The 18,789-nt window shown below is 36.5% G+C and overlaps 1 protein-coding gene across 11 annotated transcripts in view; it reads right to left on the bottom strand.

Annotated features, from left to right (window-relative positions):
• The window catches only part of EXOC4 (exocyst complex component 4), an 847,874-nt gene that overhangs the window by 786,917 nt on the left and 42,168 nt on the right, over positions 1–18,789 (bottom strand). For all 11 annotated transcript variants that reach the window (XR_007060126.1, XR_007060125.1, XR_007060123.1 and 8 more), the window contains exon 4: positions 7,974–8,158. Coding sequence is in view for 3 of the 11 variants with exons in the window: in NM_021807.4 (NP_068579.3) it covers positions 7,974–8,158 (185 nt within the window). In the remaining 8 variants the exon portion in view is untranslated. The remainder of the gene's footprint in view (positions 1–7,973; positions 8,159–18,789) is intronic.

Below are 18,789 nucleotides of genomic sequence, written 5' to 3'. Positions count from 1 at the left end.
GTTATTTTGGAAATACTGACAGTTATTTTTCATTTTAAATACATGATTACAAATTTTTATTTTAAATCCATTCAGAATCATTCATAGCTGAGATCAAAAGACAGCTGATGTACAGTAATCCCTGCTAGTATAAAATGGTCCCCCCAAAATTACCAATTATATATTGTGACTGAATGCATTTTGCCAATAGCAACATGGTAGAGGACAGGAAAAGTATACAACAAATTAAACCCAAAACAAGCAACAACCACTGCCACTGTAACCTCAAGGACTTCCTGGCCATTAACCAACATCCAACTAGTAAAGCTCTGCTTCTAAATGTTAGATTTCAAGATTTCATGATACGAAAACAGTTTTTTAAGAGGGGTTAGAAGTGCTGACAGCTTATTAAACATCTACTTTTTAATTATAACATATTTCTGTTCCTTCACTTCACAATAAATGGGTTCAACTATGTCCAAAATTTACAACTGCAACTCATTTGGCTAATTTTGTGAAACTAAAAACTGACAGAGGTGAGTTGAACTTTAAGTTGTAAATCGAATAACTGATATATTCACTTATATAGCCAGAACAGCTGGCACAGTACTTGTCAAAGAGCAAGTGCTCATAAAATTTTGTTAAATCAAACTGAGCTAAGAAATATCTGTCAAAGATAACGTGCCCTTAGTAAGACTTCACCAAATAATGAAACAGGAATGGCTGGCATAATAATTCTCAATAGTTCTAAGATCTGTTGGAACACTCAGAAAGAATAAGAATGATTTAAAGGGTATAAAAGTAAAAAAGAGCCATCGTTTCAAATGACAGACCAAGGGTGAAGACATGGTAACAGAAAATAAAGTGAGGCTAAAAATTTAAAATCTAAGCCAAGAGGGAAAAAAAAAAAAAACAAGAACTGAAAGATAAAAAGAAAACCAACATATGTAAACAGAAAAAAAATCTTTAAAAGACAAAATAGTTAGGGAATGAATACAATGCAGTGAAGAACATTCTTTACATGCCCAGAGACAAATATGGACACCAAATTTTCTCTTCCATGAGCTAGACGATGTCCCAGGATGGCTGAGGAAGCAAGGTTAAACCGAGTATTATCCAGGATCATGCAATAAATAAAAGAATTATTTTTAAACAACTTTTTACTAATTTTATCCGATTATAAAGGTGTAAATTCTTTCTTGAAAATACTTAAAAAAAAAATAATCCATTCACATCATTTTGGTATACTGCCTTCCAAAACATCTTACAGAAAGGAGCATCAAGGCCAAGCACAGTGGTATGCCAGTTACTTAGGAGGCTGAGGTACAAGGACTGCTTGAAAAAAAATTTAAAAATGAGTGTCTGTCCATCCACCCCCCACGTCACACAACACAAAAATGGCACGCATGCTCCTTTTTCAACATTCTTTGATCATCCTGCATAGATCTGAATTCTAGTTTTTCCCTTCAAGGGTATAATCTAAACATTTTCCCATTTCATTTTTAAAAATCTTCAAAAGGATCATCAGTAATTGTATTATTATTTTTAAAAAACATGCTCATGATGTACACAGGAAATAAAAGAATTTCTACCTCCCTATTCCCCACCTCACATTTCCATTTCTCACAAGTAATTCCTTTTATCAGTGTTTTGACATTATCTGTCTGACATTTTCTATACACATACAAATATTTATACCAATATATAAAGTATACATATTTAAGTTTCTATCCTTTCAATCTTTCACAAATAGGTTCATACTATCTATGCTATTTTTCAACTTGCTTTTGGGACCCAAAAATGCACCTTAGAAACCTTTCTATATCAGCACATAGAGATCATTATCACTGAAATTCTGTAATTACATGGTACCAATATACCATACTCCTCTTGATGAACATTTAAGCTGAATATTTTTGTTCTTCTTACCAACAATGTCACAATGAATATCTTGTTACATATATTTTTATGAACTGGTACTGTTTTTGTAGGATGTAGACCTAGAAACAAAATTCTCTGGACAAAGAATATGCAAATTTATTTTCCAAAAAGGCATATTGGTTATTCCACCATCAAGAGAAAGCTACGCATTTCCGCCATCTTTGCTATCATAACATGCTATCAATGTCTTTGATTTTGATCATCTTATGAACAAAAAACTGCATTTAATTTTTCAAATGTGTATTTCTCTGACTACTCATGATATTGAACAATCTTATATTTATTAGCCATTTGTATTTTTAATCTATGAACAGTCTATATCCCGCTTTACTGAGCTTACAAATATCTGCATGCTTTAGATATTAAAGCGTTATATGACATACATATATTTCCTCAGAGTATAGTTTATCCTTTGACTCTGTTTTCCTGAAGATAAGTTTTGGGTTTTTTAATGGTTAAACCATTTAATATATTTCTTTATGTCTTCTGATATGCTTGAAAAAGGCTCCTCCACACATATCCTCCTACACGTTTTCCTAATGCTAATACAGTGCTATGTGATTTTTAAATCTGGCTGAATCATTTGTACATAAGAGGTAGACACCTAAATTTATTTTCTTCAAATCAACAGTCAATTGTCTGAACACTATATATTAAATAGCCTTCATTACCCCCCAGCTGAACTATTGTTCAAAATACTAAAGTCTATAGATCCTGGGGTCTATTTCTCAACTCTATTTTGTCTCACCCATCTGATTTTCTACTTCATGTCTGCACTGTTTTCTTTAAAAAAATTTATTTTTGCATGTCTGTACTGTTTTGACTAAAACAGCTTTACAATATGCTTTGATATCACATAAGAAATGCCCCCCTCATAACCTCCCTTCACAATTCTTTTAAACAATTCTTACGCATGTATTCATCCATGTGAACTTTAGATTTCATTTGACAGTTTCAAAATTTTCAACTGGAACTGACATCTTCATGAGCTAAGAACAAGGACAGTCTCACCATTTATTTGTTTCATTTCCTCCAAGTAAAATTTTTATTATTTTTTGTATGTGAGCATGTACCTTTCTTTCATTTGTCAATTCTACTGCCTATCTTCTACTTCAAAAACATCTGGTCTTCTTTATACGTAAGTGCCTTCATGTGATTTCCTTTGTTTTCTCTTGCAGTAGAAATTTGTTGGGTGTTTGTCTTGGGTACCAAACATCTGAACAGTCCATCCCCACTGACTGCATCAAAGCAAAAAGAAGGCCCCACTTCCTACTATGGAAGCTGAAGGAGTCCAGGCATTACCCAGGCTCAGCAAACTGGATGCCTGAGTCCAGAAGTTTGAATCTTGACGAGATAAAGGAAAGATGCAGGGACATTTAGAGATCATTTACAGAGGAGTTTAAAATCCAGCTATTGTGGGCATGGTGCCAGCAAAAATAGCAACCCAAACAGACCCTTCCTGTGGCTTGTCTAAGACTGTGTGTGCTCAGCTGCTTAATCTCCGTTGGTTCCTACTGGGCTTTAGAGCCTGATTATACAGACTTCCCATAGATTCTGTGAACAACCTGATAACTTTCCAATAAATTCTTTTCCTGTTTTAGTTACCCAGACTGATTTCCTCTATTTGCAATCAAGAATCTTGGCATATAATGAAACGAATTTTTTTTCTCTCATCAGCAGAGGACCTTGAAGGACACAATGTTATTCTAGGACCTTCTGTATGTCATTTCACTTGAAGTTACAGCTTCATTTCACTTAAAGTCACAGTTTCCAAGTGCCTATTGAGGGCATTAAGTGAGGATTTACTGTGCAGGTAGATTCAGGGTTCAGCACTATCTGCAGTTTCAGGTACCTACTGTGGGTCTTGGAACATATCCCCTGCTGACAAAGGAGGGCTGCAGTACAATATCCTTTGTAATAGAGAATATTTTTGTCTTCTCTATTGATTTTTAAATATACATATCTAGATTAGTAAAAACAAAATTAAACATTTTCTCTAATTATTAAAGTCGAAAACAAAACTTCACACTCATCTTAAGCAAGAATTCAGCATTCCTTTCTCCTACCTATCCAAATTTCCTAGTCACTATTAACTGAGTAAAAAGGGATATAAATTCTGTTTACTGTTAGAGAGTACTCCTTGACTACATAGCCTTTTTTGTTTGTTTGTTTTTTGAGATGGAGTCTTGTTCTGTCACCCAGGCTGGAATGCAGTGGTGTGATCTCGGCTCACTGCAACTTTCACTTCCTGGGTTCAAGTGAGTCTCCTGCCACAGCCTCCTGAGTAGCTGGGACTACAGGCACGTACCACCATGCCTGGCTAACTTTTACACTTTCAGTAGAGATGGGGTTTTACCACGTTGACCAGGCTGGTCTCAAACTCCTGACCTCAAATGATCCTCCCACCTCGGCTTCCCAAAGTGCTGGGATTACAGGCGTGAGCCTCCACGCCCGGCTGACCTTTTTTTCCACAATGGTTTTTAGCTGATATTCTCAATCTTGTAAAAACATATTTGTCAGTTACTTACATATATATATACATGTACCTATTTAATGGTATGTGGTCCTCAAAGTTGTTTCAAACTACCTACAACTTTATTGTTCTCTGGTTGTACGTCTCACAGTTTATCTCTGAGAATTTTGCTCGGAAAAAGAATACTAATTTTTTTTATTATAAATTCATATCTGAGAATATCTCTTGGCCACCTATGCATATCAATGTCCCCTTGGCTGGCTAGAAAAGTCTTTGGTCCCAACTCTTCTCCATTCAACTTTATAGATTTTGTTCTATTGTCTTCTGGCATTTAGTATTCAGCAAATCCTGGTGAGCCTGATTTTTGCTCCTTTCTGTGTAACTGACCTGGTTTTAAGTGTATAAAAAGAAGACCAAATAATAGTGGTCTGAGTAAAACAAAGACTTCCTCTCACATTAAAGAGGCACCCCACCCAGGGCTAGAAAAGAAGTTCAAGGTGATCATGGAGTTTCAGATGTGGCTTCTATCCTCAAGGTCACCTTGTGTCTAGGACGGCTCGATGGCACCAATCTATGTCCCAGATAGAAAGTAAAGAAAGGCAAATGAAGGGTAAAAGAGTGAGCATACCAGTTTAATTGGTATCTTTAAAAAATTAATGACCTCCCCATTCAACAGCTTGCAAAATGAAGTCCCACTAAACACCCTCTAGCTATATGGGAAGATGGAAAATGCAGCCTTTTAGCTGGGCCTATAGCCACCAGGAACGAAATAAAGATTGTCATTAAAAATGAAGGGAAGAATGGACATTGGGTGGGCAAATAATTATCTCTATCACTTCAGATCACATAATATTTCTTCCTGGTATTTATAAAATTTGTTTTTGAAAATCATAAAAATTTCCAGATTATATCTAAGAGTAACTTTTTTTTATTCATTTTACCTTAAATTCTTTCAACTTGCAGACCAAGGTCTTGTTTTCCTGTTTAAGTAGGTTTTTTTATTTATACTCTAATTATTGCTTCTGATCCCCTCTGTCTGAGTTCCCTCCCACTGCCATAATAAAGTAACACAGACTGGATAGCTTAGACAACAGAAATTTACTTTCTCACAGTTCTGCAGGCTGGAAGTCTGTGATCAAGGTGTGGGCGTAGTTGGTTTCTTCTGAGACCTCTCTCCTTCGCTTGTAGGTGACCATCTTCTCCCTGTGTCTTCACATGGTCTTCCCTCCAAGTGTGTCAAATTTCCTTTTTATAAGGACATCAGTCCTACTGGATTAGAGCCCACACAAATGACCTCATTTCAACTTAGTCACTTTCTAAAAGACCCTATTTCCAAATACAGTCATAATCTGAGGTACCAGGGATTAGGGTTTCAATATATGAATTTTAGGGGGAACATAATTCAGCCCCAAACACTATCATTTTAGTGTGATTCTCTGGAACCCCTAAAATCACTGGATTGACCACTGTTCATCTTTCATATTTATCCTCTTCCTTTTGGCATCTTGTCTTTTTCCTCTTCATCAAGAAAAGTTTTTCCCTCCACATCAGTGATTCAGATCTTCTCTCTGAAGCTTTAAAGACTTAAATTTCTCTACTTCATTTTGGTTTCCTTACATTTTATTCATGTTTTAGTTAGCTCTGTTAGCATCTCTCCTCACTCTGTTCTTGTAGCTCCCGGTTACTGTTTTCATGGAAGCTATGCGCTTACTGTATACAACCACAAAATCTCAATAATGTTCAACAATAAGCATACATTTTGGTGGTTGGTTGATGCAGGCTAGGCAGGTCTGCTGATCTTCAGTCAGTTCCATGTGTCTCTTACCCTTCTCCTGGGACCGCCAGCAAGGCAATGGCAGTGGCACGAAAGGCCACACTCAACAGCATAAGCACGTTTGAAGCCCCTGCTTGTGTCATGTACCCTAATGATGGCAAAAGCCAAGGCCCCAACAAAAAGCGTAGGAAATACTCCTCTCCCACAAAAGTAGAAGGGAAATGAGTGATTATTCTGAATAATCTACTACATCGTGTTTCTTGTATTTTTTGAGAAACCTTGAGCTTAAGTCTCTTAAATGTTTCTTGCTTGCTTTACAGAAATTTTTTTAAAATAAATGTTCTTCCTCTGAGACCTCAAATAATGCTCATTTTCCCTTATAATACAGAATATTTTCACAGGACCATAGTGATTTTATTACTTAACCTTGTATGGGAAGAAATCTCTTCAGATCTGCTATTTATCAGCAGGCATTGTCGAAAGAATGCCTTAGCACTTCCCCTATTCACCACTTCACTCTCTGCTGAGGTACTGACAGATACCCTATTCAGAGCTAGTCTTGAAGTTATGTCTCAGGTACATATCAAATCTGTGTGCCTGGCAGAAGTTTTTCTAGTGCCTATCTGCTGAAAAGAGGTAGAAACCTCTCTTTCTCTGTCAGGATCTCTGATTAAACTGAAGCATCACAAGCAAATTTGGCGTTTTTTGTTCAAACAGGATAAGACTTGAAAGACTTCATTCCCAGCGTGCACTGCTTCCAGTGCTCTTCTTGTCTATATCTGAATGAAGAAGCATGAACATGTATATTTCAGTAGATAGTGCTGAAATGCCCTCTGAAAAGATCTGTCTATTCTAAAGGAATATTGGAAGGACATGTACTATGCACAGCTATCTAACATATGTTAAAAATTCCAATATTCTACCATCTTAAGATCTAGTCTTATTCCCTACCAGGCCTCTACTAACCTAATGAATTTCTTGAGACTACCCAGGCCATTAAATATAGGGCTATGCTACAACCAACCAAGGAATAAAAGTGTTCTCTCTGAACCTTTCCTAAACTATTCCAGAAAAAGGACAACCTAAAGCTGAACATAACCCTAAGTAATAAAGAATCTTATCATTCAGTCAATACATCTATATTTCTTTTTGTCTTTTTTTTTTTTAAGAGACCAGGTCTCCTCGCTGTTGCTCAGGCTAGAGTACAGTGGAGAAATCATAGCTCACTGAAGCTCAAACTCCTGGGCTCAAGCCATCCTGTCATCTCAGCCTCTGGAGTAGTTGAGATTACAGGTGCACACCACTATACCCAGCTAATTTTGGCCCTTTTTTTGTAGAGACAGAGTCTTGCTCTGTTGTCCATGCTGGTCTTGAACTCTTGGGCTCATGCAATCCTTCCACCTCAGCCTCTCATAGTGCTGGGATTACAAGCATAAGCCACTGCACCCAGCCAATATATCTACATTTCTTAATTAGGCTGACTTCACAGTCCAATTTAAGAATTTTTCTACTTCCTTCTGAGATGTACCAATGTCTCTGATTCAGAATATGAGACCCACAGTAAATGCTTCTTATATATCCTTACAGAAAAGGACCATAATAAATGTAGAATGAATGAATGAACAAACTTCAAATGTCAGCCTCTCAGAACATGGAGTATTTGCTATTATAAAACCATCTTCAAGTTTCAGAGACAGTCCATTAAAGGAAAAGTAAAATAAATTACAACAACATTCTGGGAAACAAAAAATATTCCTTCCAATCCTACACTGCCACAAGACACTTATAGCAAAGAGCCTCTTTAACCTGATTTTCCCTTTTTCCTTGTTACGCTGCACAACTCGGCTAGTCGATTTGATGTACAGGTGCCGGTGTAGTTCATCTATGAGAACCAAGTGAAGGTTCATCTTCTTGCTGTGAAGCTCTAGTCGAAGGTCACTCAGTCCTTCCACCTGGAGCAGGGGGCCCTCCAAAGACTCAACTGCTGACACCTGAAAAGAGAAAAAAATGAAAGACAATTAAGTACAACTTAATAACCTGGCAATATTATAAATAAGAAAGACGTCTTAAAAAGATACTAACAAAGGGAGCTTACGAGAACTTTATCAGCATATAAAAGACTTCGTAGAGTATAATGTGGCTAGGGGAGAGTTTTTCTCACCTTAGGTAATGATAAAACAATCTAGACAAAGATAAACATGAAAGCATACACACCACCATAGCAAACTATTTATGCCCACACACATCTGTCAATGGACACGTGTAAAAAGACCTCCCTATTTAAATGATACTATCATTCACATTCTCACAAGAATCCCATGTACTAATGGTTTAATCAACTTTTACTCAAAGTTAGCTTTTTTAAACTAAGGCTTTAAAAAAAAGCACACTATATAAATGTTTTAAAAAGAACTTGTTCTCACAGCAATCATGACTCTTTGTGCTTACCAAGAGTCGGGCTCTCTCTCACTCTTTTTCAAATACACATCACACAGAGGTAAATACATTTTTTTACATGAATGCTACAAATGGACAATAGTAGTCATCACCTCTCCTTGTCCTGATTCAGTTTGATAGAAGAAACGGGATATGAATGGTGACTGGAAGACAAAACATGAAGAGGAAGATACTCCCGGTGCAAAGTGGTTTGGGAGATTTTCAAGACAAAAGGACTGGATAAATCAAACTGGTATAGGAATGCCTACAATAAATGGAGAACATGAAGGATTCAGGGAACCTGGAGCAACCAACTCACTTTGAAACTCAAAGTGACATCTGCAAAGGAAAAAAAAAAAAAAGACAGCATGCATGATATGATCCCATTTATTCATGTACACAAAATTATGTTTGTTTTTATGTGTAAAGATCTTGTATCTTTTCAAAGAAAACTTAAAGAGCATACTCTAGGTGCTATTCTTTGAGAGAAAATAGAAATGACAGGATGAGCTTAGAGGGAAAGAACACAAGTGAGCTCCCTCAGGGATGAAATGCTATGCGTATTATTCCCTGCTTTGGTTATACTAAATATTCCTAATAGGTACAGATAAAGGAAATAACTAATAATACTTCAGGGTAAAACCCTTAAATGTAATTATGGATACAAACACGCTCCTAAAGAATGAACCATTTACACTAAAACAATAGGTAATTAAAGCCATGAAACACATTGGTGATCAAAAATGTTGATCACACAACTACAGCAGTCTAAGGAGTCATCTAGGAGTCTGTGGACAGTGAACAGAGAAACCTTTGTAGCTGCCAAATATAAACCAGCCTGAAATGGTAAAGAAAATGTGATGGCTTATCCACAACCACATCACTTGTTTTGTGATGTGCTATAATCAAATGTCAGTAGCAAATAAGTTTCCTTAAGTTAACCAAGAAAGAATCAAGGAATGGGAGAGTGACAAGCCCTGGGCCAGCTCTGCCCTCTGAAGCCTACCAGTTCATTTTCACGCTGACTTGCAACTGCCCCTGCTATGAGAGCCCCTGGGCCCAGAGCAAGCTGCCAGCAATTCCAAATGGAAAGGCAGCCTCACAAAATGACCACAGTGTCCCCAAGGAGGAAAAAACAACAACAAATTCATTTATACTTATGCCCTAAAATGGATTTTAACTCAGGTCTCTAGCAGAGAAAGAGGATGCATTAACTTTCAGTGACACTGAGATCCAGAAAATGAAAAATAATTTGGTAAACCACTGGCCCATCACGTAGCCTTATCCCTTAAGGTAATTAAATCCAGCTGAGATATTTAAGCTTAAAAACCACCCACTGCACATCCACACTTGATTTGTTTGTAGGAATGTACATGAAGATTTTTAACCCAAACAGTACATGTTCCAAATACAGAATTTTATGACAAGTGTCAACTTTCAAAGTCACCTAATTAAATTAAAAGTAAAAATTCAGGTAAAACACTTAGCGCAGTGCCTGGCAGCTCCTGAGTGCTCACTGAAATTATTTTTAACAGTACCTATTTATTCCATGAGTAAAGAAACCTCAGAGAGTATTCCCAACATGTTTTAGTGAAGCAATTTCAGTAAGTGTTCCTTCCTTCTTTGAGCCATTGTAACTGTTTAAATGACAAACTTTGAATATATTTCCTTGACCCAAAATACAAGATAACATAATAACATATATTATCAAAGGTAGTCTCAGAACTTCAAAAATTTGAAAACCTTACCACAAAAGAGGAAAGAGAATAGTCTCTTATTTCTATAAGAAAACACTGTGTTTTATTTTCTGGCCTTCACTTATTCATAGTCTATTTATAAAGCTATAATTATGGAAGCTGGACAAGGCCACTGTCTTCCCTTACTCTAACCATACTAAGTGGTACTCAAACCAATTTAAAGAAAATAGTTGTCAATGCAACATTTGCTCTCTAGAATATATGTTTAGAAACCTAACATTTATCTTTTTTTTGTTTTTTTGAGATGGAGTCTTGCCGTGTTGCCCAGGCTAGAGTGCAATGGCACAATCATGGCTCACTGCAACCTCCACCTCCTAAGTTCAAGCGATTCTCCTGCCTCAGCCTCCCGAGGAGCTGGGATTACAGATGCCTGCCCCCATGCCCAGCTAATTTTTTGTATCTTTAGTAAAGACAGAGTTTCACCATGTTGGCCAGGCTGGTCTCAAACTCCTGACCTTGTGATCCACCCACCTTGGCCTCTCAAAGTGCTGGGATTACAGGCATGAGCCACTGCGCCCAGCCCTAACATTAATCTTATCTGGTTTTAAGGAGTTTGAAACATAAATTTTACACACAAAGGAAAAGTTAGTGAGGCAGCAGTCAACCCAACAGACTACCGCTGACAGTCAATTCTGTTGTACTGGGGAGGTACGGTTTCCAGGTATTTACTAAGATTTGAGATTTACTAGAAATAATAAAATAATCGTCTGTATTTAGGAATGTGCATAATTAATGATAAAAAGATTGTTTTAATGTATGGGAAGTGGTCATTGTATAAATTACTGCACTTTTCCAAATGTAATGACTACAGAGTACATTTTAAATAACACACTGATGAAAGATTAACAGAAATTAAAGAGACACAGTTGGATTAATGCAGACAGCAACAAGACAGTCTCACAGGGTAGGTAGCTGCTATAAGAAATTATAAAAAAAAACAGGTTCATAAGTGTGACACGCAACACTGAATAATGTCACAAATATATATTAAAATTACAGGATAAAACATAGCAGATGAAAGACTAAACAGACAACATCCACAGTACAGTGAATTGGTAAATGCTGTCTATTCCCCTATTCACAAATCAAACACCACGCATTCATGTGCCAAATGATCTCTAATATGACCTCCTAGAATTATCAGGTATATCTCACAGTTTCTTTAAGTTAGATTACTATATAATAATGAGTCACCTAAATGTATTTAGAATTCTTCATATATATAGACAGATATAAGTATTTTTAAATGCATTTTGGAGGAAAACAGATATGACTACCAGTGAATTTTTTCACCGAACACCTATTACCATCTAACAGAATATTAATGTTCTAGTCAACACAGTTGGAAACTGCTCAGATAGACAATAGAAATCTGTTTTAGAATTGAAAATAAATATTTCCTTTAGGATTATGAAGATAAGCAAACCTTTTCCAAATGTTTTATCACATGATATTGAACAGGAAAGCATGTTTTGCTATTAGAAACCTATCCATGTATGAAAACAAAAATTCTAAAAAATGTTTCTATAACTAAAAGAATAGCTTGAACACACAGTTAAAATGTATATAATCAAGAATTCAAAAAAATTTGCCTGAGTTGAGATATAAGTCTACAACAAAGGAAAATCTTTGCAATTAGGAACCACCATACCCTTAAATTTTCTTTCCCAATGTCTATTTCTCAACTTCATTTTAGTGTAAAATACAGGAAATAATTATTTCCTAGTTAATGCTTGTCTTTAGCCAATCTTAATCACGCTTATCATGTAAAAAGATCTAGTTTTGTGTTCTGACATGAACCACTGTAAATATTTTGGAGGAACACTAAACTTGGCCATTCTCAGCAGCTGCTTTGTTGAAGAAATGTTGTAAAAGAAACTATTGATCTTTTTATTTTTCTAGTTGAGGTGAGTAAGACACACAAAGATAAACGACATCAGTAACTGTTTGTGAATAGAAATAAGGTTCAAGCCAAAAAAAGAAGAAAAACTGCTGTATAAACAAAAAACAAAACTGATAACTAAACCATCTGGTAGCTAACGAAAATGCTTATTTTGGCAACACTGTTCCCTAAGGAAAGCAAATGTATTGCCATTGTTGAATCCAAAACAAATATTTCTTTGAGGACTCTGAAAATTATATGGTTCTAAAATGTTTTATCACTTTTCACTAGGTCAGTAAATCTCCCTTAAGGAAGCATTTTTCTAGCAAGACAACATAACCATTCTGAAAATGTTGCCATGGTCTACCTTGGAGTTGCAGTAAAAAGATATAAAATTAGGCTACTCCAGAGAATTGATACCTTCCCCCTTCCTACATATACATAAGACACAGTTAAACAAACTTTTTGAGCAGTCTCAACTATTCAATAAATAAGAACATCACAAAATCTCTGTATGAACAAAAGAAACATGCCCTGAAGCCTAGATTTACTTAGTGCCCAGGTCACCTACCTGCCGCTGCCTGCCCCTGCACTGCTGGAAGGCAACCTCCAGCGGTTTTAGGGCCTGCTCCCCTAGAGGGCCCTCCACCCTCAAGTGTCCACCTTCAGGATCAGGGAGTCCTGGGTGGGCACAAGAAGCCTCCAGGTCTCCCAGTGAATGTGGAATGATTCCGACTCACGTCTAAGCAAGCAGCGAAGATATTTATCACACAGGAGCCAAGAATCCCAGATCATTCATTCACCAACTATTTCTACATTGCTACATCTTATTTTTCCCAAGTCGGAAATTTTTATCTTTATCAGACAGAAACTAGTAAAACAAACAATGAAGCTTAGAAAAAAAAAATGGTATCTATCATATTATTAACTTGAACCATAAGAAAATACTGTTTTTACAAGTTAAAAATGATCAAATATTGGTTATTTCCTATGGTCCAACCTAACAGCTGTAGCAGCAAGTCTGAAAGCTTTGATAGATCTGGGACATCACAGCACTCTTTGCAGTACATTGTAGCCTTTATAGAACTCTATGTATTTAACTGCATCAGATAAACTAGGAACAATTTTACTAGTAGAATATACCACAATATATATGTATGTGACATAAATGTGCAAGCAAGTGAACCCAAAATTCCCAACTGTTAATACAAACCTAATAACAGCATCCACGTAACTTTTGTTTACAGCATGACACCAGTAGACCGGACTTCATGTACAAATGGTGGTCGGGGGAATAAGAGTATGGGACGTGAAAGGGAAAATAAAGGGGATTCATTCAAGGGTCAGGGCTATTGTGAAGATTTCAGGGACTCTTGCGGGATCTATGGGAAAAACAACCTCTGATTTCAGTTTCACTGGAGAAGACTAAGATGATGTGTCTGGCTCCCTATGGCCAAGCTTTGCCACTGCCTGAAAGCTGCAGGGTTATTGACAGTCTGGTACTGAAGACAGAGTTCCAAAGACAGCTGCATCAGGAGCAAGGCCAAGTGCCTGGAGCAAGAATACTTTTTTCTCCTAACTCCTCAGCCTATATGCTAATCAACAGTGATCAAGTAAGACAATCAAAAATGCCCATTCTTAAATCACCCTGATAAAATAATATTGATCAGACCCATTCAGGTGCCCTATCTCCCTTAGGAAACCCAATACCTATAAAGCAGACTTGGTGTACTCTCACCATTAAAAAAAGGATGTTGTCTACCTCCCTTCTCCCTTCATTACTGCCAGGGTTACTGCATGTTTTTATTTAATAAACCTTCATCAGCTCAAATGAGGGGTTGTTATTAGTTGAGCTAACAGCAAATGATAATGCTCCAGAGAGATATCAGTGCTTGTTGGTGCATTAACAAAGAGAGGAGAAGGACTGAGGTCAAGCATATGTCAATGTAAATGAGGCGATATTAGGTACTAAGGGCTTAATGCAATAGACTGCCAGGGAGATAATGGAATTTACAGGATAAGGCAAATTAGATGAAGTTATTGATAAGTGAATGAAGGGAGGGGGGCCTGCAAGATAAAGTGCTGTCAAAGAAAAGGCCCTTTACTTGTGAATTTATTCTTTAAAGTATCTTCAGATCTATCTCGGAAAATAAAACTCGAAAACAGGATCAAATGTGACTTCTTCCTTCATGAAAGATTTCACCCTATTACTACCATGAAATGCGGACTTGTTCTAAAAGCATACCATTTTATTAAGCTATTCTTAAGCATTCTTCAGGGTTCCCTCTTTTGTTGTTAGTTTTTTGTTTTTCCCCCTTAAACATCAGTGCATTCTGCCACAAATAATTCCCATATTTTATTAAAGCGAAAGTAATCTTTTTTTTCCCCTCCTAAAGTAGCAACAGCCAAGTCTTCTAACATACCCTATCAGCCTGAGCCTCACAGAACGGCAGTATCTGAGAGATGAAAACTAAGAACTTTCTATTGAAAGAGACCTTTAAAGGTTTTCAAGACTGGGGTCCCACCCTAATTTCACAGATTAAAAAAAAGTCAGGCCTAGAATGGTATTTTTTTCTTAAGCTTGGCATTTCTCCCAAATTACAAAAATAATACCTACTCAACCAAGAAAACTTGAAAAACATAGAAAATTACAAAAGAAAAATATCATCATATTGTCACTCATCTGATGCAATAATATATAATATTTTAACCTAGTTCTTTCCAATCATTTTTCCATGCAAAGTGTTTGCAAAAATACTTGTTTTTAAACATGTTTTTTCCATTTGGCAATACACTGGGAGCATGTGCCTATCCCTAAACATTATATTTAGTATTTTCATACTAGTCCATGAGTATGACTATACAATGACTTAAACCAATTCCCCATATTTAAGTCATTGCTAATCTTTTTACTTTCATAGATCTTACTGTGATAAGTATCCTTGTATACATATTTGTAACACAAAACAGTTATAATTCTTAATTCTTTCTTTAAAATAAAATTCTAGAAGTAGATCTCAAGTCCTAAGCTATGCATAGTTCTAGGGGTTCTGATGCATAATTCCACATTGAGAGCCTTATTTCTTCTAAAAGGCCTTGTAACAGATCTGTTCACAATTACCTTCCTGAAGAAATTAAACTATACGTAACACGGTAAGAGAAAGATAATTGTAAACTGCTCATAGGAAAGCTTAGAAAAAAAACCTCTTTTGTTCCTAACCTCATGGTCCCTTCAATTCCCAGTTCCCATCAGTGCTCTGTAAGAGAGCATTAAAACCTAGGTTTCTACTACAAAATCCAATAGAAGAGACCACTAGAAAAGCCATTCTCTTTTAACAAGCGTCCTAAAGTCACTCACCATGTCATGTTATTTGTTACTCTGGGACAAGAAAAAGTTACAGAACAACTCTCTTTTTAAGAGTTGGCAAAGGAGGTCTCAGAATCACTTCAGGCTCGCACTTCAATCAAGACAATTTCGCCCACACTCTGCAAGAGCCCCAAATCCATTAGAAATGCTCAGCACTTACACAGCTCTTTACTAACGTGAACTATTAAAATCCCACAAAGGAATGATAGAGGAATATGGCGTTTTTCATTTCAAGAGCTAGGCAACCACAAGTAATTAGTATTGGGATGAATCTCAGAGAAAATAGACTTCTTTAACAAGCTCCTCCTATCTTGTCAAGCCAAGCAAAAGCTACTCATTAGCATTCTCAGACCATCATCAAGTTCAGACTGAAGTCCCCTATCAACAACATGGGTTGTCATCAGCTGCAATTTACACAAACATCTAGTTCCCATCTGGCCACAGACTGACCAATCAAAAATCTGTTCAAGAAAGGTCGTATGTGAGGTTGAAACCAGAAATATGATGGAGGATGGCAGCAAACGACTTAGGTATTATTCTCGACTTAGAGCATTCTTCCTGTACACTCAAGTGTGCAAACACAGTCACACTTGGTTTATCTGATTAAAACCGGTATGCATTAATGATGGTAGCACCAGAATAGAAATGCTGCTCAGTGTAAACAAGCCCAGACTCCTGCATTTTCTTTTTACCTGGCATGGGGAAATGACGACGATGATACCTACACCATTTTAAATTTTTATACTGCTTTATATCCTACAAAGCACTTTTCCTGTACTATATTTCACTTTTATTCTCATAACCATTCTATAAAGTAGACAGGTAAGTATCTGTTTATCTGTTCTACAGATAAGGATACTAAAACAGAGAGATAATGTAATTTATTTATCTAAGCTCAAGGAACTGGTAAGTTGTTGAATCAGGACTAGAATTAAGAACTTCTTGCTTTTAAATCCACTTTGTTTCCACTATGACACACTATACATAGTCACCACTTGTAAATTAATAAACATATTCTCTAATTTCAATCCATTAAATCCCTGCAGTAGGTCATATCAGGACCCACAGCAAAGATGCACAAATCAGAGCAACAAAATGACAGTTCTAAAGAGTGCAAGTCAGTCCAAACATGGAGAATCATCTCATTTAAAAACTAAGTGAGTTAACTACTAAATCATCTCATTTAACTACTAAACCGATTTGACCAAATAATCAGACTATAAAATCAGAATAAAAGCCAAATACTCATTAGCTGTATCCCAAAACTACAATAAAGTATGGCCACAAAGCAACTTCAAACAATAAACTTCTACATAAATGTGAGTATCACCATGTGATGTGTGTCTTACATAAATACTTGGTTTCCAACTACTTACCACTGTTGCTAAATGAAGACAAGGACAATAAGTTTTGCTGAATTCCACAGAACAAGCTATACCCTACACCAATAGTTCCAATGTTGCCTGCATATTGGCATTACCTGGAGAATGTCAATAACTGAAGTCAGTGGCCCACCCCTAGAGACTTTTATTTAACCGGTCTGGGATGTGACCTGAATTTAGAATTCTTGCAAGATCCCCTAATGTGCAGTGTGGGAATCACTGCCCCATAGCCAAGCAAGCCAAATGGAAATTGCTGAACCTCGTAGGCTTTAGTGCAATAAAACAGAATTTCCATTGGCTTTAAAAGAGGCAAATGAATAGCAGATAAAAAAGCAAAATTTAAAAAAAAAGGAAAACTAATACAATAACCAGGTGCCTATCAAACAATCTAGTTTCTAAAAACCCCAGCCTTCAAAAACAAATATAAATAAAAAGGGCCTTGAGCAGCATGAAAAACAGCTACCACAAACCCCTGCACTTCTACTCTATAAGAGAAAAATAAAACTGTCACAAACCTACTCACTTAATTGTAGATATAAAAAAACAAAATTACTCATTTTGTTTTCAGCTTTTCCTAAATCTTTTTGAAGGCAAGAGAAGAATGAAGGGGGGTCTCAAATGCGGCTAAAAGCAGCTACAGCTGACCACCCCTATTTAAATAGCAAACCACACTATCCCTACCCCAAATCCCAATACTCCCAGTCTCCCTGTCTTATTGTAGCTTTCTCCATAGTACTTAACATAATATGAGAGACACTATTTGTTCACCATCTGTCTCTTCCCACTAGCAAGTAATATCCTCCAAGGTTAAGGCCACCTTCACACATACACATACAAACAACAGAAGTTATCAACAATGGCATTATCACATGTTAAAGACCCAATCATTTGTCTCTTTATCAAAATATGTGCCAGATTCTTTCCTGATAAATTATTAGCTTAGAATATTGGCCTCAGTCTTTCAAGCTGCTCTTCTACACTAGGAACAGATGGGTTTTAGTAATGGCTATTTCATTATTGATCACTGATATATTTTTATCATGTTGTGGAAAATCCATACGGAATACTGGAACATTGTTTTACAGTCACTGAACCACTTTCAGGTTTAGTCCAATAAGCTCACTAGAATATTCCAGCTCCTGTTATCTACAGAGCTTTCACATCGATACTTTTCCCAGAGTAATAAGAAAAAACAGTTCTGTGAGATCTCAGAAACTTTCAAGCCAGATAAAAGGGATGTATGTATGTTTTGGCTCCCTTTTTTCTTGCTTGCACATTAATCATTTCTCAGTGGATGCATGATCACCCATTCCTTGCGCATAAAGAAGAGAAAATAAGATCAGTCTATTTGCTAATGACACAGCTTTACTGACACAAATAGAAGCAACCTCACTGGTCCACTGGTCCTGCTATCTAAGCACTCACAGAAACAACAGCTTAACACCAACTCTTCTAACACTAAAATGTTCTGACGACAAACATCTTCCAGTACTGATCTGGCTTTTATCTAGTGATGATACCCAGTGGATTAACATATTTACTTACCTAAAAGTAGATTTTACAAGCTCATCTTGGATACTTTACCAACAAATTACATTGCTCAGAATTATACAATCAATGGGTACCCTATGAACATATTTTTAATGTAAGCCGAGTAAGTAATTGATAACACATAATCTGAAATTTGTCCATGCCAAATCCTAGAAATGTAACACAGAATTGTTAGAGAAGACTAGAATTGCTTTCTGAGAAAAACCCTATCCACCCACAAGAGTTCCTTTACCTTTAAAAAAGGTGG

This window comes from Homo sapiens, chromosome 7 (genome assembly GCF_000001405.40).
Source record: "Homo sapiens chromosome 7, GRCh38.p14 Primary Assembly".
NCBI lineage: Eukaryota > Metazoa > Chordata > Mammalia > Primates > Hominidae > Homo > Homo sapiens.
This window is presented reverse-complemented; position numbering and strand designations above follow the sequence as displayed.